This window comes from Homo sapiens, chromosome 15 (assembly GCF_000001405.40).
Source record: "Homo sapiens chromosome 15, GRCh38.p14 Primary Assembly".
Lineage (NCBI taxonomy): Eukaryota > Metazoa > Chordata > Mammalia > Primates > Hominidae > Homo > Homo sapiens.
This window is the reverse complement of record NC_000015.10, coordinates 52,280,915-52,306,094: the sequence shown is the minus strand read 5'-3', so window position 1 is coordinate 52,306,094 and position 25,180 is coordinate 52,280,915. Positions and strand designations below refer to the sequence as shown.

General features: G+C 45.9%; 1 protein-coding gene and 1 long non-coding RNA gene across 5 annotated transcripts in view, besides 4 other annotated features; one reads left to right on the top strand and one right to left on the bottom strand.

The window, feature by feature from the left end:
* Positions 1,595-11,211, bottom strand: LOC105370819 (uncharacterized). Its single transcript, XR_932250.3, has 4 exons — positions 10,884-11,211; positions 6,049-6,221; positions 3,699-3,783; positions 1,595-1,640 (listed from the first exon to the last, which is right to left on the bottom strand). It is a non-coding gene; the product is annotated as an uncharacterized LOC105370819 (long non-coding RNA).
* Positions 10,291-25,180, top strand: part of MYO5C (myosin VC) — a 103,483-nt gene continuing 88,593 nt past the window's right edge. For all 4 annotated transcript variants that reach the window (XM_047432845.1, XM_017022408.3, XM_011521781.4 and 1 more), the window contains exons 1-2: positions 10,291-10,485; positions 23,203-23,313. In XM_047432845.1, the coding sequence (XP_047288801.1) occupies positions 10,459-10,485; positions 23,203-23,313 (138 nt within the window). In that variant the 5' untranslated portion in view covers positions 10,291-10,458. The remainder of the gene's footprint in view (positions 10,486-23,202; positions 23,314-25,180) is intronic.
* Positions 10,468-10,627: a silencer, noted in NCBI's record as "silent region_6446". NCBI's record gives its function as "represses an Ori minimal core promoter by ATAC-STARR-seq in GM12878 lymphoblastoid cells {active_cell/tissue: GM12878}" and the evidence as "EXISTENCE:reporter gene assay evidence [ECO:0000049][PMID:35858748]".
* Positions 12,069-12,238: an enhancer, noted in NCBI's record as "experimental_39766 CRE fragment used in MPRA reporter constructs". NCBI's record gives its function as "activates a minimal promoter by MPRAs in K562 erythroleukemia cells, with activity observed for both the introgressed and non-introgressed 15:52586139 variant alleles {active_cell/tissue: K562}" and the evidence as "EXISTENCE:reporter gene assay evidence [ECO:0000049][PMID:34662402]".
* Positions 13,112-13,161: an enhancer, noted in NCBI's record as "active region_9425". NCBI's record gives its function as "activates an Ori minimal core promoter by ATAC-STARR-seq in GM12878 lymphoblastoid cells {active_cell/tissue: GM12878}" and the evidence as "EXISTENCE:reporter gene assay evidence [ECO:0000049][PMID:35858748]".
* Positions 19,234-19,990: an enhancer, noted in NCBI's record as "NANOG-H3K27ac hESC enhancer chr15:52578302-52579058 (GRCh37/hg19 assembly coordinates)". NCBI's record gives its function as "activates a minimal SCP1, AML or CMV promoter by ChIP-STARR-seq in naive H9 embryonic stem cells {active_cell/tissue: H9 hESC(naive)}" and the evidence as "EXISTENCE:reporter gene assay evidence [ECO:0000049][PMID:30033119]".

Here is a 25,180-nt window from a genome sequence, read left to right as displayed (position 1 = left end):
CGAGTAGCTGCTACAGGCACCCGCCACCACGCCCAGCTAATTTTTGTATTTTTAATAGAGACGGGGTTTCACCATATTGGCCAGGATGGTCCCGATCTCTTGACCTCGTGATCCGCCCGCCTTGGCCCCCCAAAGTGCTGGGATTACAGGTGTGAGCCACCGTGCTCAGCCAACAGTTTCTTTTTCTAAATTAATTGGAACCAAGGCAAGATTATTTCCCAATAATAAAATCACGCTCATCCAGTTGCATTTTGGTATGATCATTAGGATTCTTTCTGGGGCATATGACAAAAATCAAACTCAAACTGACCCAACCAAGAAGGAAATGTATTACCTAACACAATTAAAGTTCAGAGATATATCCAGGTGCCCAAACATTGACATCAGGGATCTCCTTTTCTTTCCTTACTTTTGGCTTCATTCTTAGTCATGTTCTCCCTCAAGTGACAAAGATGGCCCTCAGTAGTGTTTGGCTTCATTCTATGGCTCTGCCTTCAGTAATTCTCAGTAAGGCATTTCAGGATGGAGTCTCAGTGGCTTAAGTCCTACTTCCATCCTCAGAATAATCACTGTGTCCAGATGAGTGCTCTGACTGTCCTAGCCTGACATACCCCCCACTGAAACTAAAAATTGGGTAATTCACAGAAAACATAGGATTGATTAGGTGGTAGTGGGAGTTCACCAGAGGAAAGACAGAGTATAGTTCACAGAGGAAATGAAAGCAATGCATGTCTACAGTAATGCATTCTCCTGAATGGGAAAGAAAGGGACACGAATTGTGTGCAGCACTGGGAGTGTGCCATCCATGTGAAAGTGTGGAGCTGCTGGGTGGGTTTCCTGGGTCTTAGCAGTCAGCATAAGTGCACAAAGAAGTAAGCAAAGTGTTACACAACAAGAATTTTGAAATCACATTTACCACCCCGGAAAGGGACCTGGGAAGACATGTGATTTGTTCACATTGATCACCTTGCTACTGAAACCAAAATATGATGGACATTATTCAAAAGGAGAGAAATAAAACCTGCCATACAGACCTCGTTAGCACCATGTTGGCCAGCTATGGGCAGTTCTGGTCATTGGGTTTCAAACAAAACACAAGGGAATATAAGAGGTTCAGAAGAGAATAAGAGATAACTGAAGGAAAAGGATACTACTCATAAGAATGGTTTGAAAGTCCTGAGACAATTGGGCCTAGAGAAATGAATGCCAAGAAGGTAAGAATGTGGGCAAGTGCTAAAAAATTATGCTTGGTTGGGCCAGGTGCAGTGGTTCACACCTGTAATCCCAGCACTTTGGGAGGCCGAGGCGGGCAGATCATGAGGTCAGGAGATCAAAACCATCCTGGCTAACATGGTGAAACCCCGTCTCTACTAAATAATACAAAAAATTAGCCGGGCGTGGTGGCGGGCGCCTGTAGTCCCAGCTACTCAGGAGGCTGAGGCAGGAGAATGGCATGAACCTGGGAGGCGGAGCTTGCAGTGAGCCGAGATTGCGCCACTGCACTCCAGCCTGGGCAACAGAGTGAGACTCCATCTCAAAATAAAAGAAAAAAAAATTATGCTTGGCACAGATAAGGAAAACATGAACTACTTACCAAAACTTAAATATGGTAAACAGACATTTTGAAACTTCAGCAGTTACTGGAAAAGAAAGAAAATACTAGTTTATGTTGTCAACCATGTATATCTGAAGCTCATTTCCTAAGAGTCTATATTATCAAGAAAGCTAAATGAATTTGAAGAGAGTTTGGTCAATGCTACTTGTGACCAAAAAAAATTTCTACTGAGAAGATCTGGGTTGTATCAAATCTTCAGGTTATAATCTAGGAAGACAAATGGTTTCTTTTCACATGTACACCCATGGTCTGCGAAAAATAGGTCTCCGGGCTGAATGGCCTGTGTCTAGGATGACCCTAGCTAGGATGGTGATTACTGTGCAAAAGAATGGGGCTCCTTTTGGAGGGAAGTAAGAAGCTGTTAAAAACAACCTCATGAAAACAGAAGGGAGGGAGGAAAATACAGGTAGGAATGGGGTTGGTCAACAGAAGTGAGATGGGCAAAGAAAGACAGGCCAAAAGCCCATGGAAAACCATTCTTGAGTTGACATTAAATACAACAGGAGAAATATTTCTCACATTTCAAAAGTAGCTTTTAGGAATTCCACTTCTGACATGATAGCATGAGGAGCTTTGCAGACAACTCCCAAGGGAAACCAGTGAAACCAGTGAGAATTATTTTAAAAACAAACCAAACCCCCAATTCTTTAAAGTCTCTAGAAATGGTCCTAAGGGCATACACCAAATGAAGAAGTGCTTATTCAAGAAAACATACTAAAGCTTGATAAAGAGAATGAGCTTGTTGTATCTGAACCAAGATTCCTCCCTCCTTCCATCTTCCAGGTCAATGAGACAAAAACTCCACTCTAGACTGGTATAGCCAAGAACTCAGGGCTTCCTCTCTGCCAGCTCACAGTTGGAGGGCTGTCTTCCTGGGAGGGGCAGGATGTCAGCACTTCTCATCCTGCTCCCAGCCACCTCTTGCTTAAGCTAAGTTTCAAATAAATGCAGTCAACAGGTGGGGGGGGTCCCTTCTACCCAGCCCCTACTCATGGCTCACAGGCTCTACCTTGGGGACATCACTGCTGAAAATACTGGGACCCCAGTGCATCTTGTTCAGGCTTTTAAGGTGGTGCTCTCATCCTGGGAAAGGCCAACCAAAAAGACCTAAGGCCACTATCCCCCATCCACCGAGCATTTGGCTCCCATCACTCAAAGAGATGCAAGCCATTGTCCTCATCCCCAGCTCCAGAACAATGGCTCAGAGATTTTCACCAGGAGCAGAAGCAGGCTGTAAAACAGAAAGCTCCAAATTACTTCCTAAAGGAACTGACTTCATTTGCAAAAGAGTGTGGAGAAGTTCAAGCCTAAGGGCGTTTCAAAAACAGTGAAGGTTGCAGTGACTGGGGATTGGGAGGGGATTGGTAGATTCATTAGAGTTATCGGCTGAACTTTAGGCTATAACTTTCCTGGAGAGAACTGGGAGAAGAGACAGCCAGGAGGAGTCCTTGCAGGATCAGAACAAGTCTCAAACATTGACCTCAAGAACTATCCTTTCAAAGGAGCCCAAAATTGATCAGATACTGTCTGTGAAACAATGTGTTCCTTATAGCATTGTTGAAAATCGTAATTGGTGGAGTTTAACAGCTGAATGTTAACACAGTCAAAGTGAAGCTAGCCAAAACCACTGTCATCCCAGGTTTAGCAGGCTACACTGCCTGAGAAGCAGCATCAGAGGCTTCCCACTATGGAGTAGTGGAGGAGGGCCAAATAGATCTTATTGAAATAAGCCAGCTGGTCACTAAAACATAAATAAGCCCAGTTTATTTACAAAAACAAGGACCAGTATGCAGAGCTACTACATTATCAGAAATATCTTGATTATAACCAAAAAATTACAAGACATGCAAAGAAACAGGAAAGTATGACTTATAAGCAGAAAAAAAAATCAGGCAACAGAAACTGCTTATAAGAATAACAAGGTGTTAGATTAACAAAGATTTCAGATCAGCCATTATAAATATATTCAAAGAACTAAAGGAAACTATGATTAAAGAATACATTTGATGAATGACAACAACAATACAAAGAACAGGAGGGAGGAATAGGAACCTTTTGATATTATAAGGTACTTGTACTGTACCTTATACACTGTAAAGTGATATCATGTTCTGTGAAGATGGGCATGGATTCGTTATCAATGTGTATTGCAAACTCCAGGGCAACCACTATAAAAAGTAAAAATAGAAGTGTAATTAATATGCTAAGAAAAGAGAAAAAACTGAATCACATTAAATGCTCAATTAAAACCACAAATGGCAGAAAAAAGAGTGGAAGACAAAAAATAGAAACAAGACCAAGGGCAACAAATAGAACAGTAACAAATATGGTAGATATTAATCCAAATCTATCAGTAGTCTGTGTAAATGTCCATGGTCTAAGTACACAAATTAAAAGACAGATTGTCAGAGTGGATCAAAACACAAGACCCAACTATATGTTGTCTACAAGGTGATTCTAAAATTCAGGTGGAATTGCAAGGGACACCAAATAGCCAGAACACTCTTGAAAAACAATAGCAAAGTTGGATGACTCTAATTTCAAGGCTTACTACAAAGCAACAGCAAACTAGACCATCTGGCACTGAAAGTAAAGATAGACATAGACATCAGTGGAATATAATTTAGAGTAGGGAAATAAACCTATGTGTTTATGATCAATTGATTTCAACAAGAGTGCCATAACCATTCGATGGGGAAAGAATAGTCTTTTCAACAAATAATGTTGACACAACTGAATAGCTAATGCAAAATAATAAAGTTAGGCCTTTATCTCATACCATATACAAAAAACAAACAAAACTCTGCTGGATGCAGTGGCTCACATCTATAATCCTAGTGTTTTGGGAGGCCAAGGTACAAGGATCACTTGAGGCCAGGAGTTTAAAACTAGCCTTGGCAATGTAGTGACCCCATTTCTACAAAAAAAATTTATCTAGGCATGGTGGCATGCACCTGAAGTTCTAGATACTACAGAGGCCAAAGAGAAGAATCACTTGAGCCCAGGAATTTGAGGCTGCAGTGAGCTATGATCATACCACTGTGCTCCAGCCTGGGTAACAGAGAGAGACCTTGTCTCAAACAAACAAAACAAACAAAAACTCAAAATGGGTCACAGGCCTAAATGTAAGAGCTAAAACTATAAAACTTAGAAGAAAACAAAAGGATAAATCTTCTTGACTTTCGATTGACAAAGGGATTCTTAGATATGACACCAAAAGCACAAATAACAAAAGAAAAAATAAACCGAACTTCATCACAATTGAAAACTTTTGTGCTTCAGTGAACACTGTCGAGAAAATGAAAAGGCAACCTGTATAATAGGTAGAAATATTTGCAAATCATATATCTGATAATGGAGTCGTATCTAGAATATATAAAGAACTCTTATTACTTAATAATAAAAAGACAATTTTAAAATGAACAAAGGATCTAAATAGACATTTCTCCAAAGAAGATACACAAAAGCACATGAAAAGATGCAGATGCCTGGCATGAGGGAAATGCATATGAAAGCCACAGTGAGATACTACTTCACACCCACCAAAATGCCTAGAACCAAAAAGTCAGGTAATAACATGAATTGGCAAGGATGTGGAGAAATCAGAACTCTCAGGCACTGCTGGTAGAAATGTAAAATGGTGCAGCCACTCTGGAAAACAATCTAGTAGTTCCCCCAACAGTTAAAGAACAGAGTTACCCTATGACCCAGCAATTCCACTCCTGGAAATACCCAAGAGAAATGAAGACATATATGTTCATACAAAAACTTGTACATAAATGTTTATAGCAACATTACTCCTAATAGCCAAAAGGTGGGAACAACCCAAATATTCATTAATTGATTAATATAATGGAATGTTACTTAATCCCTAAAGAATCACTGAAAAGTTAACTCAAGAAATAGAGTTCTTTTTAGGGGGGAAATTTAAATTATGCACTTAATAAAAACTATCACCAAAAAATTCAAGAAAGGGGAAACAGAGGGAGAAAAATACATGTGCCATATAGAAAACAACAAATGGCAGACATAAATCCAACCATATCAAAGACTACAAGAAATGTGAATGGATTACACACCCCAATAAAAAGGCAGAGATTATCAGACTGGATTTAAGAAAAACAAAAACAAACAACAACAACAACAAAAACAGGCACAGTGGTGCATGCCTGTAATCCCAGCTACTTGAGAAGCTGAGGAAGGAAGATCACTAGAGTCCAGGGGTTCAAGACCAACCTGGGCAACTGTTCTGTGTGGGAGACCTGCGAGGGGAGAAGGCACACACAATACTTTTAAGGGTAAACAACTTTATCCCATGTAAATGGCAATGCAGATAATAATAAGCAGATGATATAATAAGCAAATTGATATAATAAGCAAATTGCAATGGGAAGGGGAGAAAGGATAAGATATATATATATATTTACACTCACCAGACTATGGAGAATTCACCACCAGACCCGTAAGCAACAGCCTGGGCTCCAGAGTCGGCCACTCACTGGTGTAGATGAGGAGAGGTCTCATGAAGCTTCAGTGCAGTCTGGGACCCAAGCTCTTTTTGTAACAAGTTGTTTGGCATGAGGCCCAATCAGGAGGCCCTTTGCGACTGGGCTCAAGGAACCCAAAAAGTCAACTTTTTTTTTTGCAATTGTTGTTTTTCAATAACTAACGTATAGGAATAGATTGAAATGGGGATTTCTCCAAAAAAGTGCTGGATGAATGCCTTAAGGGGCTCACACAACCTATTCTGGGACTTGGTGACCATTGTTTGTGTCCATGTTCAATTTGATATTTAACTTTTCCTCCACAGCAACATAGCAAGACTCCATCTCTAAAAAAAAAAAAAAAAAAAAAAAAAAAGAAAAAGAAATAAATAAAATGGCCAGGTGTCAGGTGTGGTGGCTCACGCCTGTAATCCCAGCACTTTGGGAGGCCGAGGCGAGATCACGCCATTGCACTCCAGCCTGGGCAACAAGAGCTAAACTCTGTCTCAAAAAAAAAAAAAAAAAAAATTCCATATCCTAAATGTCAGAGTTCTAACTATAACACATCTAGAAGAGAATCTTTATGAGCTTAAGCTAGGCAAAAATTTATTAGATAACAACACCAAAAGCATGATCCACAAAATTAAAAAATGATAAATTGGACTTCCCCCAAATTTAAAGTTTTTGTGCTGCCTAAGACACCATGAAGAAAATGAAAAGACAATCCATATAGTGGGAGAAAATATTTGCAAACCATATATCGGTAAAGGGTTTGTGATCAAAATGTTTAAAGATGGTAGATTCAATACCTGTATTTACTCAACCTTCCTCCTGAAACTCCGGTAAGTAACAATAAACTCACAAAGGAAAACAGAATGAATGAGGAATGACAGCAACAGCTTGGAAGATGAAAAACAGATGGATAAATGTCTTTTATTTTCACAAGCAAAGAAAACTGAAACCTAACCCGGGACAGGCAGAAGCCCAGAAGCAATCCAGTTTGCACTACATAATTCCGAAAAGCTCAGGAATTAGGTTCAGAGGCAGCAGGTAACACTGAAAGTGGCATGCAGCTGAAAACACAGGAATTGGTTGAAAATCTGTTTAAATAGCAGTTCAAGTGGACTTGAACAGACATTTCACAAAAGAGAATACCAAAGTGGTCAATAGTCATCATAGAAATAAATGCAACTTGGACCCACAGTGAGACATCATAACACACTCATCAGAAAGGCTATTTTTTAAACTGACCACATCAAGTGGTGAGGATATTAAGCAACTAAAAGTCTCACACACTGCTGGTAGAAGTATACATTGATATAACAATTTTTTACAAATCTCTTTAGCATTATCCGTTAAAGTTGAGCATTACATACCTGTGATCCAGCAATTCTGCTCTGTTTATGTGCCCAACAAAAATACATATATTTGTGCATCAAAAGACACATATAAAATGTTCATAGCAGCATTATTCATAGTGGGTGTAAACTGAAGCAACCGAAATATTTATCAATAGGAGAATGAATAAATTGTAGAATATTTATACAATGGAATACTACTAGACAGGAATGAAAGACCTCAAACCGCAGCTACATGCAACAAGATGAATAAATACCATGTAAAAAGCCAAATGCAAGAGTTACACATGTGATTCCATTTATTAAAAACATCCAAAACAGGTAAAACGCATCTATGGTGATACAAATCAGAACAGTGGTTATCTTTGAGAGAAAATGATTTGAAGAAACAGAGAAAGTTTTGGGATATCGGTAATGTTCTACGTCTGGATCTGGGCGGTGGTTACTTTGGTGTGTTGATGTGTTCCATGAATAAGAATATATTGAGCTGTACACTTATTATTTGCACACTTTTCTGTATATAATTTTATTCTTCAATAAAAATTTTCTTTAAATAAAAAAGGCAGCTAGATTCTCTTTTTAACTCTGAGCAATCAGGCAGCTGTCACTACTCACCTTATAGATTTTCTTTTTCTTTATACAAAATAGAATTATTTGGGCAATAATATAAATAATTTTGTATATAAATAAATGCAAAATTAAATTTACCATGATCCTCTCTTTGTGGCATTTATCATTATTGATCCATGCCAGGCCTCTCTTTATATTTTTTGATCCCCTTTTTGAAATCTCCGATTCCATTTCTCTCCCTCATAGGTATCCACTCTTGCATATTTAATGAATGACTTTGTAATTTATCCTCCTTACCTCTATTCACACATACTTGTACCCATGAACAATATTCAGTATTGCAGTTTTTGTGAGTTTTTAAATATTAAAGACTTGGGCTAGACATCTATTCAACATTGTTTTTTATTTCTGAGTCAAGTAGATCATGTCTATTCCTACTAACAGCTGTAGAGTTTTACATGTATATACTATTTCTTTTTTTATTTTTCTCTGCTGTCTGCCATGTATATACTATTTTATTTATTCCCCTATTGATATTTAGATGCTTCCAACTCTTTGATAAATAACTATGTTGTGATGAACATCTACTTAACTGTCTCTTTGGGTGACTGTGAGAATTTTTCTGCCTACATTTATTTTCATAACTATTCTCAAATTGCTCTCCAGGATGGCAGTATATTCCCACCAGTTATGTAAGCAAAAAAAGTTTTTATTTTTTTTATTTATTTTTTTTTTTTTTTTGAGACGGAGTCTCGCTCTGTCGCCCAGGCTGGAGTGCAGTGGCGCAATCTCGGCTCACTGCAGGCTCCGCCCCCTGGGGTTCACGCCATTCTCCTGCCTCAGCCTCCCGAGTAGCTGGGACTACAGGCGCCCGCCACCTCGCCCGGCTAATTTTTTGTATTTTTAGTAGAGACGGGGTTTCACCGTGTTAGCCAGGATGGTCTCGATCTCCTGACCTCGTGATCCGCCCGCCTCGGCCTCCCAAAGTGCTGGGATTACAGGCGTGAGCCACCGCGCCCGGCCAAGTTTTTATTTTCTCACATCCTAGGCAGTATCTGAGATTGTCTAACCTAAATGTTTTTGCCAATATGATGGGTAAAAAGCAATATCTCATTGTTGTTTTCATTTGTATTTATCTGATTACTGCTAAAGTTGACATCTCCTTGTATGCTAACAAGCCATTTAAGTGTCCCCATCTGTGAATTGCCTATTAATTTTTGTCAGTTTTAAAAATTGGATTTCTTTTCTTTAACCGATTAACAATTCTTCTATATGGAAACTACTATAACCCAACATTTTAAAGATATTATCCCTCTTTTATTCCTAATAATTTCCCGGTTTTAAGTTTTAATCGTGAATCCATCTGGAGCTTATTTTTGGATGCAGTGTTTGCCACGGATCTGCTTTTATTGTTTTTCCATATAACGGGCCCATCTAATAAATATTATTTTATTTCCCTATCTGGTCCTTAAGGCTACCGTATAATGTAGGGCCCTGCTGGGGGGCTCCAGCATGTTCCATTACTCACGTATCCGTTCTCACGCAAGTGTCACACTGTTTTAATGACTACTGCTTTGTTATGTCCCTAAATATATGGCAGGACAAATCTCTCCTCTTTGAGAATTGTCTTAGTTATACAGGGCTTTTATTCTATATGAAATATAGAATCATTGTACAATTCTCCAAAAGTTCTGTAGGATTCTGACGCCAATATATTAGGCATATATATTGATTTGGGTAGAAGTGACACCTTGACCATATTAAATATTCCCAGCCAGGAAAATGGCATGTCTCCCGTTTACCTGGGCCTTCTTTTAAGCTCTTTAAGAGAATTTTAAACATTTTCTCCACAAAGGCCAAGGGCATTTTTGCGAGTGTAATCTCTGGATACTTTATATTTTCACTAATATTGTAAATATCTTGTATTGCATAGACAATGCTCATATAAAGGACCATTACTTATTTTTGTATTTGATTTTGAATACGATGACCTTGCTGGACTCTTAACACATTTCTTTGTGTTCAGTACGTTGATTCCCTTGGGTCTTCCATTTAAATGGTCGTATCCTCTGCTCTTTGAGGAGCTAACACTCGGGCCGGGCAGCCTCCGGATGCATCTGTTCCTGCCTGGCAGCGCGCCCCGGGCCCCAACCTTCTCCACCCGCGCTCCCGCCAGGTGCAGCCGCCCGGCCCCGGCCAATGGCAGCGCCGACTAGCCGGGCCAAGCTTGGAGGGACCAATCCCGCCGCTGCCCCCTCCCCTCGCCGCCAACTCGGGAACGGGAACAGGAGGCCGTTGGAAAACTTTGGGCAAGATGGCCCGGCGGTGATTTCCGCGGCGGTCTCTCCTGCGCCCGGCCTCTGCGGCGCAGGCCCAGCCCCCGAGCCTCGCACGTTCGGCAGCCCCGGCCTGGCCCCGGCCCCTCCTGCCCATGGCGGTGGCCGAGCTGTACACGCAGGTAGGAGGGTCCGCTGGGCTCCTGGGAGCGCTGTGGGGGAGCCGGCCCTGCTAACGCTGACTCGACCTGGCGCCCGGGCCACACCTGCCACACCTGCGCACCTGACACGGCAGGGCGGGCGGGCGCGCGCTGGGGGCCGCGGAGGCGCCGCGGAGGGGCCACGGGGACCGGGGACACGAGCGAGCGTCGCCCCTCCAGGGCCCCGGCGTGCTCCGTCCCTGCCCGCGGGTAAGCCCCCTCCTGGCTCCGCTGCGCCTGGGTGCCCTGTGGGTGGGAAGACCCTGTGGGAGGGGCCGCCCCCTCCGCCGCTCCGGCCTCGGGGCCTAGAATCCCCAGTGCCCAGGGGTCGCGCGTGCGTCCCCATCTCCCGGGACTGGAGCGCCTCGGTCCCTTCCTACCACACCACGGGTGGAATCAGAGTTGCCCATGCGGACGTAGGAAGCTGAGACGCCGGCCAGTCTCCTGGCCCCTCCTGGGACCCCCTTGAACGAGCTGGCATAGAAGCTTATGGCCGCAGTGTTCGGGCTGCTTTCTAGAATTCTGTGTCTTCAAAGTGCGTGAACGTGCATGTAGGCTCATCAGAAGCTGAAGCAGCCTGGGTCACAGGCTTGAGGGCACTGCAGTGGCACCAAGCGCTTGGGGAGCCCAGGGGCCACGAGGTGCAGTCGTAGGCTCTTTGCCTAACATCTGTACTGTTAGCAACAGTACAAACACCACAGTTTCTAAAGCGCCTTTCATATACCCTGACTCTGGGAAACACTAGAGCATTCCTCAGAAGCTTCCTTTCTGCTGGCTGGGGCTCCACCTCTTACCTCGGAAGGGCAGCGTTCCCACATATGTCCCAAACCCTCTGAGATGGGCTTGGGTAATTATTTGGATAAAGAGTGTGACAGTGTTAGCACTTTTGAAAAAAAAAATCCATTTGAATAGCCATAAAGCCTGATCCTCCTATACACCAGTTGGGGAAATCTAGAGACCTCAGTATTCAGACGAGTGGAACTAGAATCCATCCATTTCCCCGGACACATGCTCTAGCTTTCTACTTTAAAAGATGCTTTTGCTGTAGATAGAAAAGATAGTTATTTAAAAAATCATGTTTCAATGGTTTAAGCAAACGTTTTTCTTCTACTTTGATTACTTAGTAACAGTCCGGACACAAAGCAACCGAACTGTAGTTTCTCCTCTATTGCATCTCCATTAACTGGAGTTCTAAATGGACAGTGTTTGAATTGCCCTAGTTTTGTTCTAGAATATTTTCACCAGTGAGACTGTGAGCCCTCAGACAGCCAACAGCGCTTCTTCAGCCTTCAGTTTACTGGAAGTGAAAGAAAAGTCTTGGACTAGTCTTCGACGATACTTTGGAGGACAGAGAAAAATGCTGCTGCTGAACCTATTTGAGGTGACAGTATTTCCAGAAGCAGAAACACACAGGTGCAAGCACCCCTATTTTTAGGTGCCTCAAACCTCAGATATTTATTAAATGTCTAGTAAGTACCAGGCACAATGTAAGAAAACTGATAGGAAGGAGTTTAAAGGTACAAGCTTGGAGGGAATGAGAATCTGAGAATCCCAGAGACTGACGCAGCCTGATGGCCATTCCCACTGACCTTGTGTCCACGTAGACACCTGTGTTCCTAGGCTGCCACCTCCCTTCCTGGTGGGCAGTTAGCCCCCATTTTGTCTGTTCTGGAGGTGTGAAGGGGAGGGCCATGGCAGCCAGAGAGCGAGGTCAGGGCTTTATTCCCCAGTGTGGGTTTTGAGTGGGGGCTGGCAGAATCAAGGGTGGTGTGTTAGGACTGTTAGATTTGTTATGTATGCCAGCAGCGCCCTTGGGCTGTGGAGGAGAGAGGCCGGGGTCACGTAGCTGAATTCTCAGGTCATTCCAGCTGTTGGAAAAGAATTAGAGCTGCAGTGTTGGCCATGGAGGGTGGAGGCAGGTGAGGCTGAGAGGCTGGACTGGGGAGTGGGGTGGGGGTTGAAGGGACCAGCCAAGGATGACATTTGAGGTTAGAGTCTGTATGAGAGACAGCAGGGTGGTGCCCTTGAGTGAATTAAGGATGTGGCATGAGGAGGAAATATTTCTTAAGAAAGTCATCAGGCAAGTTCTGTATTTGCAGGGGTTGAAGGGGTGAGGGGGCTTCCAAGGGAAGGTGCCTTGCAGGGTGGGAGGTGTCAGAGGGAGGGGATGGGCCCTGCCGAGGGTCTTCTGCCCAGAGGTGGTCACTGAAGCCAACAAGACACTGAGGGTCTCACCAAGGTGGGAGAAGGCAGACAGAGAAGAGGGTGAGGGACAGGCCAGCGGGGAATGCATCTGTGCAAGGAGTGAGAGGAAGCAGAAGGGCTGAGATGGAGCCATCCAGAGGAGGAGCTAACAGGGGAGCTGGAAGCCACCCTGTGGGAACAGGGAAGAGGGAACTCCAGGAGAAGTCTTGGTGAGGGGAGCAATCGCTGCCAGGTGAGGTGTAAAATCATCCATCTCTTTTGAAAAGCTACAGGTGCCATGCCTTAGAAATGTTCAGAGCAGCAGTTCCCCTATTTGAAATCTCTCTTAAGAAGAGCCGGTCTGGCATTCTCTGCTCTACCACCTCTAGAGGCTCCCATTGCTTTCAGACTCACTGACCAGCCACGAGGTCCTGCCTCTCTCCCTGCCTTCCTGCTCTTACCTGGCTCATGCTCTGCCAGACTCCTTGCCATTCCCTCAATGCCTTGCTTGCACGTTGCCACTGCGTGCCTTGGCACACGAACTCCACCTGTCTGAGCCTCTGTCTGTCACCTTTGCTCATGGCACCTGCACCTTCCACCTTCAATTTGAGCAGGACCTCTTCTGAGAAAGCCTCTGCAGCTAGCCCCTCCACACGGTGCCTTCCATATTGCCTGGTAACAGCTCGTGAACTCTGTGTCTCCACTATTGACCAAGAGCTTTCAGTGAGCAGGGGACAGTGGGAGCTTCATAAATGTTTGATGTGCACCTGTGTGCATGACTGAACGTTTTTGCTTACAGAAATAGCTAGGACCATGGAGACGATGATATGGATGATGTTATTTTTATCTCTATGTGCTAGATGCCATCCTCAGAGTTTCATGTGCCGCCTCTCATTTAATCTGGATAAACAACTCTGTGTGTTAGATGATCTCACACTTTTAGAAATGGCTCAGGTCAGGTAAGTTGCTAAGGTAACATACAAGTGATGGAGCCGGAGTTGAAAACCTATGTTCTTAGTGTCTCTCACTACCACCACCTTGGTTCAACCGCCTTTATTATCTTCCTCTTCTTCAAGGGATCTGACCTTTTCCCCGCACACAGTGGGCTTGTGAGAAGTTCATCCACTTTCTACCTACCTCTCCTGACACCTGCTTATTTGTATTTTTCCTTATAATAACTAAATTGGAACCAATCCCAGTGTCCAGCAAGAGGGGTAAAGTTAAGTAAATTATGGAAGATTCACATGGTAAAACAGCATGAAGCCATTAAAAGTACTATTTCTGAAGAGTTCATAACATGAAAACATGGTTATGTGAAAAATGGGGCACAACAGTTTATATACTGTATGAAGATAAATATAAAATATGCGGCCGGGTGCGGTGGCTCACGCCTGTAATCCCAGCACTTTGGGAGGCCGAGGCGGGCGGATCACGAGGTCAGGAGGTCGAGACCATCCTGGCTAACACGGTGAAACCCCGTCTCTACTAAAAATACAAAAAAATTAGCCAGGCGTGGTGGCAGGCGCCTGTAGTCCCAGCTACTCAGGAGGCTGAGGCAGGAGAATGGCGTGAACCCGGGAGGCGAAGCTTGCAGTGAGCCGAGATCGCGCCGCTGCACTCCAGCCTGGGCGACAGAGCGAGACCCTGTCTCAAAAAAAAAAAAAAAAAAAAAAAAACATAAAATATGCAAACAAAGAAAAAAGACCACACATATCACTGCCTAAAGATTGGACGGTCTTTCTTTCTAGTAGCTGCAGAGAAGTCAACAAGGATGAAGGCTGGGGATGGGTTGTTAGGTTTGGCCGCTAGTTTTGGTCCCTGGCGTCGTTTCTGTTTGGGTAGAACTGTGAAGGGGAAAGGGAAAGTCTGACATGACCCGTGAAAGGGAGGAAACCAGCAGAGGACTGCAGTTTGAAGACATAAGAAAGGCACCAGGCATGGGTTAACCTCAGAAAGGAGTGAGGGCCTGAGGCCACAGTGGCAGGAGTTGAAGGCACAGAGATACTGACAGAGAAGGAAGAAAGCCCAGAGAGCTTGACAGCTGCTGAGCAGGAAGGGTGGGTAGGACAGACGGCTTGAGGAGAGTGACAGTGCCACCAACCATTTCTCTGACAGCATCATTCCAGACCCTCAGCATCCAGGCCACCTTCCTCTGGGTGAATTTTCACACCTTGATGCCCATTTTAGTGGCACTATTCTCTAGCCTTGATCTGCTCAGCCATGAGTACGGTGCAACTTCTTGTGAGCATCCCTCAGTGTATCCTGGCATTATGTTAGTGCTTTAAGCAGAGCTGGTACATGCTCTGCCCCTGGTGGGTCAAATCAAGTCCTGGTCCTGCCCCTTACTAACTGGGTGACACCAGGCAAGTTACTTAACCTGAGTTTCCACACCAGTATAATGGACTGAATCATGCTTACCAGCTGAGGAGGTCACTATGAGGATTAATGGCGTGTAAAATCCTTAGCACAGCACCTGACACATAATGCTTAATAAAGATTACTCAAATACTGATGCTATTATAATACAGTTGATTTTTTTTACCTAAATACAGACTTTACATTTATCCCTATAAAATTTTCTGTTTTGTTTAGTGCCCAGCGTTTCTGTAGCTTGTAAAAACCTTTTGAATCTTGATCATCTTTAGCTAATCAATCATTTCATCTGCTTGTTTGATACATGTGTTTTGTTTTTTCATCTACGATACTGGTGAAAGTGTTGAATGAAAGGGGAGGCGGTAGAGCTCTGTGGCATGCCTCTGGAGACCTTTTTTTTTTTTTTTTCCTAAAGGTTGCTCTTGCTCATTAATTAGAACTCAGGTTATGACTGTGTAGTGACAGGTTCACTACAGTCATTCCACCATCTGTTTCTTTCACTTGTGCAAGAGGAACTCACAAATATCTTCAAAGTTCTGCTGAAACTCAGATGTGCAAGGTCAAAAGAAGTGTCTTGACTAGCAGTCCAGGGCCCCTGTCTAAAATGAGGTCAAAGTTCAGCGTAACGATTTTTTTTTTAATTTGGCTAATTCTAAATAGTTTTTAGACTTCTATATACCATTAACAACTCTGGAAAATTAAATGTATCCATTGTATTATGTATGGGTAGTTCAAAGAGAAAAAAAGGGATGAAAAGACTGAAATACTTAGTCTTTAATTGGTGCAACTGAACCACTGGGAATTTGAATTTTTGTTCAAAAGTTGTTTATGGAGTGCTAGTTATGGGAAGCCTTTGCATTGGATTCCAAGCACAAAGACCAGGCTCTTAAAGTTCAAATGCCAGTGGGGGAGATGGGAGGCAGCCTAGATACCTGGGGGAGGAGCAGAGAGCGCTCAAGGGAAGCATCCAGCTCTGCTAGATGGCAAGTGGCAAGGAGAGTGCCAAGATGAGGAGTGTCTCCAGCTACTCCAGACTGTTCAGAGCTGTTTGCTCTTGGATGGGGAGAGGATGGGTGGGGCTAGGGTGGAAGGAACAGAAGTACACAGCAGAAAGCCAAAGAAGGCCTGCCATGTTCCAGAAAGTGCTAGTGGTTTTGGGTGGCCACAGGCAGAGGGTGGATTGAAAAGAGGGTGAGGCCTGAGCAGGAAATTGGCCAGAATGCTGGTTGCCCAGGCCTGGCTCTTCCTCAAAACCCATGTGGGGGTTGATTTTCAAAGCTTTTCTCTTGCCGGGCCCCACCCACAGGAATTCCAATCAAGTACGGATGAGAGAGTCTGTCTGCCCAAAGAAACCTCGTGCTCAGCCTGGCTGAGGAAGCCTCCGGGGGCTGCTGCACCAGTCAAGAGAGGATTGGTGGGGGTAGGGTTGGGGGCTGACTTATGGCCATGGCAAGGGGGCTGGTAGGCAGGGGCGGACAGGAGAGGGCTTTTAAAAGGCAGTCTTTTCTAGCACCTGGTGACTGTTGGGCTGTTGGGGTGGAGACACAGAGGGGTGCCCAGCACTGTCCCAGGCTTCTGACATGAGGGGCAAGAGAGCTAGGAAGGAGGAGCGTCGGCATCACTGGAGTTTGGAATTTATGAGTCTATGAGGACATTTAGGGGCTGACATCTTGGAGGCAATTGGAAATGTGGTGTAGAGCTCCAGTGCACGATCTGGGTGGGAGGTCTCAGATGCACAGGTGCCAGGCAGTTGCAGAAGCTGTGGAATTGGGTGGAACTCTCCAGAAACAGCCTATCATGAGAAGAGGCTGGGAAGGACCTTGGGAGACACGGACATGGGGGGCAGTGGGAGGGGCAGGGGAGCCAGGGGAGGGGCCCATGAGGAGCGAATGAAGAGGAGGAGGAAGAGAGGGGCATGGTGTGACAATCTGGCCTGGCTGACCTGGAGTGTGGACACTCCCAGTCCAGAAAGCGGTTCTAGGAGGGAAACACATGTCGTCCCATCTTGTCCCATCTTCCATATAAGTCTTCAAGTCATTTCTGTGGCTCATGCCAGAAGATCCCTCAGAAAAGCAGGCGGCGTGAGAAGATGCTGTTCTCATCTCACCTGTGTGCCTTGGGGGGGTGGCTGGCATGGTCTTGAGCTCATAAGGTTCAGTGGTCCCGAGCCTCTGCCTCAGCTTGGCGCCTTGGCATGGGGAGGGCACTCAGGGAAGTTGGGAGGTGGCCCTCTCTTTCCTGGCTCCGCTGAAGGGCTTGGCGAGCTGTTCCATCCCAGTCCACAGACTCCTGCCTCATGGGAAGGCCCCATATTCTGGAGGTCAGTTGACAGCTGGTTACATTGTTTGCATGAACTGCGGACTGCATCTGTTTGGATGAATGCTGTAAAGTTAACTCTTCCTCCAGTTTGAAGCATTGCTTTGTGGGTAGAGGAATGTGAGGGAGGAGGGGACAGGAATGAATGGGTGGAACTTACCCGGAGCTGAGTAAACTCACCGTTGTTTACTTACCAGGCTGGGTTTCAGCTGCAGGGCACTCAATGCCAGCAGAAGCACCAGGATCGCAGGGTGTGGGCGGCCTGGGGTACTGGGCTGAGGAGTCACTGGTCTTCAGAAGAGAAGCCGTCAGTGGTTACGTATGTCCTAATACTGCCTGCCATTTAATACCACTTTTAGCTGAAACCAATCCTAAATTATAGTTAGGAGAGCACATGGACTCTCAAGTAGATGGTTGCAGTTCAGAGTTCAGGATTACTTTCAGGGCCAGATTCGCTTAACTAATACGGAGTTCAAACTAGGAGTCACAGGCCCTAGCTCTGCTGGAGTCCTGGTCCTTTGAGACTCTGTCTGCTGTTTGGTGAGTTATTTCTCTCTGGGCTTCAGTTAGGGGCTCTGTTAAACAAAAGGATTGATTGGCCTAGTGACTTTCACATTACTTCTCAGAGCCCAGGCTTCCTTGGAAGGCCCCCAGGGCTCTCAGCTCCAGCTCCCATCAGAACACCTCCACTTTCACCAGCTTCGCTTAGCCAGCTGTTACAACTTAATTTTTTTTTTTTTTTGAGACGGAGTTTCACGCATGTCACCCAGGCTGCAGTGCAATGGCAAGATCTTGCCTCACAGAAACCTCCGCCTCTCGGGTTCAAGCGATTCTCCTGCCTCAGCCTCCCAAGTAGCTGGGGTTAGAGGCATGCGCCACCACGCCCAGCTACTTTTGTATTTTTAGTAGAGACGGGGTTTCTCCATGTTGGTCAGGCTATTCTCAATCTCCCAATCTCAGGTGATCCACCCACCTCGGCCTCCCAAAGTGCTGGGATTACACACGTGAGCCACCGCGCCTGGCCAGAACTTCCTTTTGAAGTAGGCTTTCTGCAGCTCTAAAAAGGAGTTTGACAAACAACTTGGAGTAGATAATCAGTTCTGAGACTCTGTAGTGGCCAATTCTTGATAAATTTGGTAATTCATGTACAATTCTTTTGGGGGGCATATATTTTGATATTTGCCTTTAAAGATTAACATTCATTGTTCTGATTATGAAAGTAATAGGTACATATTGTAGAAAATACATCCAACTCTCAGGTGTCTCTTATGAGGATCCCATTCCTAATCCATTTTAATGAAGTAAGCTTCATGACGTTAGTAATAAATATTTTCAATAGCAGACCTGGGGTAGGAGCTGTGTAGCCCGTGGCAACAAGGATGGGTGTGGGTGTGTGTGCCTGAGACAGGCGTGTCTGTGTGTTTCTTTATGAGGCCTCCATCGTCCTATCTGCACAAGAGTGTGTGTCACTGCCTGCCAGGTCATTCTTCCATTCTCGTTCTCTCAAAACTTACACATCCATGTCACGTTTCGGCAAGCTTCTGCTTTTTGCTAGCTGTTAAGGATTAAAGCAACTCAAATGATTTAGGGGTAGTCATGATTGATATCCATCCAGTGACTTTTCTGTTTTATTGATTAAGTAAGGCGATTTATATTAACTAATAGATAGGTTCCTCATCCAGCATTGTCCTAGTCTAGTACTTGTAACTGTGAACTTTGTTTGTTTGTTTGTTTGTTTGTTAGTTTTTCTTTTTTTTTTTTCTTTTTTCTTTTTTTTTTTTATTGATCATTCTTGGGTGTTTCTCGCAGAGGGGGATTTGGCAGGGTCACAGGACAATAGTGGAGGGAAGGTCAGCAGATAAACAAGTGAACAGAGGTCTCTGGTTTTCCTAGGCAGAGGACCCTGCGGCCTTCCTCAGTGTTTGTGTCCCTGGGTACTTGAGATTAGGGAGTGGTGATGACTCTCAACGAGCATGCTGCCTTCAAGCATTTGTTTAACAAAGCACATCTTGCACCGCCCTTAATCCATTTAACCCTGAGTGGACACAGCACATGTTTCAGAGAGCACAGGGTTGGGGGCAAGGTCACAGATCAACAGGATCCCAAGGAAGAAGAATTTTTCTTAGTACAGCACAAAATGAAAAGTCTCCCATGTCTACCTCTTTCTACACAGACACGGCAACCATCCGATTTCTCAATCTTTTCCCCACCTTTCCCCCCTTTCTATTCCACAAAACTGCCATTGTCATCATGGCCCGTTCTCAATGAGCTGTTGGGCACACCTCCCAGACGGGGTGGTGGCCGGGCAGAGGGGCTCCTCACTTCCCAGTAGGGGCGGCCGGGCAGAGGCGCCCCTCACCTCCCGGACGGGGCGGCTGGCCGGGCGGGGGGCTGACCCCCCCCACCTCCCTCCCGGACGGGGCGGCTGGCCGGGCGGGGGGCTGACCCCCACCTCCCTCCCAGACGAGGCGGCTGGCCTGGCGGGGGCTGACCCCCCACCTCCCTCCCGGACGGGGCGGCTGCCGGGCGGAGACACTCTTCTCCTCCCAGACGGGGTGGCTGCCGGGCGGAGGGACTCCTCACTTCTCAGAGGGTGCGGCTGCCGGGCGGAGGGGCTCCTCACTTCTCAGACGGGGCGGCCGGGCAGAGACGCTCCTCACATCCCAGACGGGGCGGCAGGGCAGAGGCGCTCCCCACATCTCAGACGATGGGCGGCTGGGCAGAGACGCTCCTTACTTCCCAGATGGGATGGCGGCCGGGAAGAGGCGCTCCTCACTTCCTAGATGGGATGGCGGCCAGACAGAGATGCTCCTCACTTCCCAGATGGGGTGGCGGCCGGGCAGAGGCTGCAATCTCGGCACTTTGGGAGGCCAAGGCAGGCGGCTGGGAGGTGGAGGTTGTAGCGAGCCGAGATCACGCCACTGCACTCCAGCCTGGGCACCATTGAGCACTGAGTGAACGACACTCCGTCTGCAATCCCAGCAACTCGGGAAGCCGAGGCTGGCGGATCACTCGTGGTTCGGAGCTGGAGACCAGCCCGGCCAACACAGCGAAACTCCGTCTCCACCAAAATAATATGAAAACCAGTCAGGCGTGGCGGCGCGCCACTCGGCAGGCTGAGGCAGGAGAATCAGGCAGGGAGGTTGCAGTGAGCCGAGATGGCAGCAGTACAGTCCAGCTTCAGCTCTGCATCAGAGGGAGACCGTGGAAAGAGAGGGAGAGGACGGAGAGGAGGGAGAGGAGGGAGAGGAGGGAGACGGGAGAGGGAGAGGAGGGAGAGGGAGAGGGAGAGGGAGAGGAGGGAGAGGAGGGAGAGGGAGAGCGAGAGCCTGTTTGTTTTTTTTTCATTTGAGACAGAGTTTCACTCTTGTCTCCCAGGCTGGAGTGCAGTGGTGCGATCTCGGCTCACTGCAACCTCCACCTCCTGGGTTCAAGCGATTATCCTGCCTCAGCCTCCTGAGTAGTTGGGATTACAGGCATGCACCACCACGCCCAGCTAATTTTTGTGTTTTTAGTAGAGACAGGGTTTCACCATGTTGGCCAAGCTGGTCTCCAACTCCTGACCTCAGGTGATCCACCCACCTGGGTCTCCCAAAGTGCTGGGATTACAGGTGTGAGCCACTGTGCCCAGCCTGTTTTATTCTTATTCTTTATTTCCTCCAGCATTTTTATATGAACATGTTAAGCATAATGCAATGTTGAAAGAACTTTACAGGTCAGGCATGATGGCTTATACCTGTAATCTTAGCACTTTGGGAGGCTGACATAGGAGGATCACTTGAACCCAGGAGTTCGAGGCTCCAGTGAGCTGTGATCACGTCACTGCACTCCAGCCTGGGCCACAAAACTAGATCCTGTCTCTTAAAAAAAAAAAAAAAAGAAAGAAAGAAAAAGAATTTTATAGTGAACACCTGTTTTACCACCTGGATTCTGGTGTGGACATTCTACCATATTCATTGTATCCCATGTCTATCCATCTTTCTGTCCTTCTATCTGACCTTCAATTCATCTCACTTTTTTGAAGCATCTTTGAGTAAGCCATATATCAATACACCTTCTAAATATTTTAGTATGCATATTAACTAGAGTTCCATATTTGTTTAATTTTTTGTGTAAAATTTACAGAAAATGAAATGCACAAATCTTAAGTCTGCATTGTCTGAGGTTTGAAAAGTGCTTAGCCCCTATGTAACCCGAGCCCCATCAAGATACAGAATGTTACCATCACTCCCAGAAGATCCCCTCATACACCTTCGGAGTCACTCCCTGGCCCCACCCACCCTCAGAGGCAACTACTGCTGTGAATTTTTTCCCAGCATGCTTTAGTTTTAGCTGTTCCAGAACTTGATTTGAAGGGACTCACATAGGAGGTACTCATTTGTGTAAGGCTTCTTTAACTCAGCGTGCTTTGGTGACTCACCCATGCTTTTGCTTACATCAGTAGTTCATTCCTTTTATGGGTAAGTTGTATTTCATTGTATGGGTATTCTGCAGGTGTTTTTTTTTTTTAATTCTCATTAATGGGCATTTAGTCTGTTTCCAATTTTTGGCCACTATAAATAAAGTTACTATGTCCCATATCACAGAATTTATGTACCATTCTTTGAGGGGGGGGCTTATATTTTGATATTTGCCTTTAAAGATTAATATTTATTGTTCTGATTGTAAAAGTAATAGATGCATATTGTAGAAAAATACATCAAACTCTCAGGTGTCTCTTATAAGGACACTAATTTTTAAATCCTGCCAGGCGTGGTGGCTCATGCCTGTAATCCCAGTACTTTGGGAGGCTGAGGCAGGTGGATCGCCTGAGGTCAGGAGTTTGAGACCAGCCTGACCAACATGGTGAGACCCTGACTCTACTAAAAATACAAAATTAGCCAGGCATGGTGGCGGGTGCCTGTAATCCTAGCTACTCGGGAGGCTGAGGCAGGAGAATCACTTGAACCCGGGAGGTGGAGGTTGCAGTGAGCCAAGATCGTGCTGTTGCACTACAGCCTGGGCAACAAGAATGAAAATCCATCTCAAAAAAAAAAAAATCCTATTGGGTCAGCGCCTTACCCTCATGACCTCACTGAACCTTAATTACCTTCTGAAGATCCTTCTCAGATATAGTCAATTGGGGGTTAGGGCTTCAACATATGAATTTGGGGGACACACAGTTCAGCCCACAGCAACGTGGTTCTACCTAAAGACTTGTACATCGGCGCTGAGCCAGGCGTGCCATTGCCTGCTGGGAATTGAGCTGGGTGGCTGTGTCTGGACTTCTGCATTTCCCACTGTGGGAGTCCTTGGCAGCCCACCAGTGTGATAAGATTATGATGACATTGCTGTAACAATACTTTCGTAGCATTTTACAAAGTTCTTTCAAGTACAAAGTCTAATTTAACCTCCCAGGGAACTGGTGAAAATAGGTATTGTTGTGCCAATTCTATGGATGAGTAAAATGAGGCACTAGAAGTTAAGTGTCTGGCCCAGAGTTCCATAGTCAAATCAGTGGTGAAAGAAATCCCTCTCCTCTAACCCTGTAGACAGCCGTGAGATGTTTCCATTAAGGGACTCGCGGATTTCTTTCCCACGTACAGGCTTTCAGCGTTCAAGGTTTATCTAGGAGGCTTTGGGAGTTCTGTTGCCTGTAAACTGAGGCAGCCAGGCCTGGTGCATCACAGATGCACGAAAGATCACCTCATAAGCAAAATTAGGTAGACGTATTCCTCATGAAGGAGCTGACCTAGTGCACAGAAAGAAACCTTCCTGTGTCTAACCATGCATTGATCCATAATTTTGGAAGTCCTGAAATTCAGCTTTTCTCATCCTGTTGGTCAGTACAACAGGGTCTGGATTCCCGATCCTGAAGAAGTTTGGAAGTCTGCTGAAATAGCCAAGGACTACAGAGTTGGTGACAAGGTCCTGCGACTCCTGCTGGAGGATGGAACGGTGAGGGTCCTTGCTGTTCACAGCTACGTCGATGTGTAAAGCGGTAGCTGGGGTGTGTGTAAGGATGGGAGCACGTGGACCCCGTGGGAGGCACCCAGGGGAGGGCGCACGAGTGGGCACCAGCACCATTCCCAAATGGCCTCCTGGTGCCGGGACTCACTGATGTGTCTGTACTCCTTCCCTCCCGCCCCTGTGCTGCCCTGCATCCACCGGGCCTCTCTCTGTAATGAGGGCCCAGCTGCAGGAGCCAGGTCTGTGCCACGGCACTGCATTTCCAGGCACCCAGCATTACTGGGAGAATGCTGAAAAGTGATTCGCCATTTTGGCTTCCTGAGTCTCAGCCCAGAGATTGGGCAGAGATGAAAAACTTGGTGAGAAGTCGTTTGAGCCCAAGGCATACGCTGGTAGAGAAAAACATCAAGATGTGAAGGGGAGGAAAATGAGAAGAGGGAGATAGAAAACAGGCAGGGAGAGGGAGGAGTGGGAGGAGACTGGAGGGAGTCGGTCCACAGATATATAGAAATGTGTAAGGGAGGGAGTGTGGCAGGGACAAGAAGACATGGACACCCAGCTTTGTGTGACATTATGAGGTGCCTCTGTTGGTGCTGGTGTGGTGAGGGGGAGGTGAGGATGAACTTTAGCAGTTGCTCCTGTGGTAGGATGAGCTATTGAGGAGCTTCCCTGCAAGGCTGCATGTGCCTTCTGATGACGCAGCTTCTGAAGACTTTGCATTTGCTCTAAGTGTCCCTCATGAGTTGTCCTTGCCCACCATTGCTGTAGTGACATCCCACTGGATTAGTAGCCTAGGGTGACTGGACGGGTTTAGAATCAAGTATCTGGGTAGAGAACTGGGCAGGGGATTTGTGCTCCATCTAGATCCCAGAGGTGGGTCTGGGGAACATCATGTGAGGATTAATTGACAAAGCATGTAAATGGGTTCTGCAGACACAGGACACACTACTTCTAATCAGACTGTCCTGGATTTGGGAGACATTTCCTGAGATCCTGGGAAGGCAGATGAACACAGCGGTTAAAGACACACCCTCTAGAATCAGATGGTCTGGCGTCAGATCCTGGCATGGCCCCTTGTTAAGTCTTTGGCCCAGGCCCCCAGTTTCCCCATATGTACAAAGGAGGTAATGACTGTGCACCGTCCCAGGGTTGCTGAAGTGCGATGAGACAATCCTGTGTGCATGTTTGAAGGCAGGAGCTCTGGGAAGAGGCTCCTGCTCCCCGGGGCTTCCCTTTCCAACAGGAGCTCCTCGCAGTTTTTATTGAGTGTCTCCTGTGCACAAGGTTCTGATTAGGGATCAGATGGCTTTGTTTGGGAAGGAAAATCTCAAGGCAGCAGCTGCAGTGGCAGTTTGCTGCTTTGGTAATATCTGCAGGGCTTCAGGTGGCTACATTCCCGGCCTTGACCCGGCTGCAGAGGTGAGTAGGATGGCGGGCAGCCAGACCTCTCTTTAGCTCAACCCTTTGTCAGTACTGTAAGAGACAAGGCCTGTGTGCTGTAGGAAAATGTCACCTCTGCCTCCACCTGTCAACATAATGTTCATTACATTTTCTCCCCTCCCCCAAAGACTGTCTGTCCTTTCTGTCTCCCTGTTGCTTTCACACATAACACACACAGAGGCCAAACCAGAAGTGGGGGTTGTGGATTTACAACAGAAAAACAGAGACAAGGAAAGTCAGTATGTATGAGAAGCATTTTTCCTGATTTTATTTTCAAAAATGTTTAGGTTGAGAATATTCTGGTCGGGGTTAGGTCACAATACAATTGCATTGGTAACAGGGGAGCAGGAGCTGGCCTGAGCATCCGTGTCCAGTTGTGGATTGCCCTGAGCTGCTCGCTTTATGCAGAACAGAC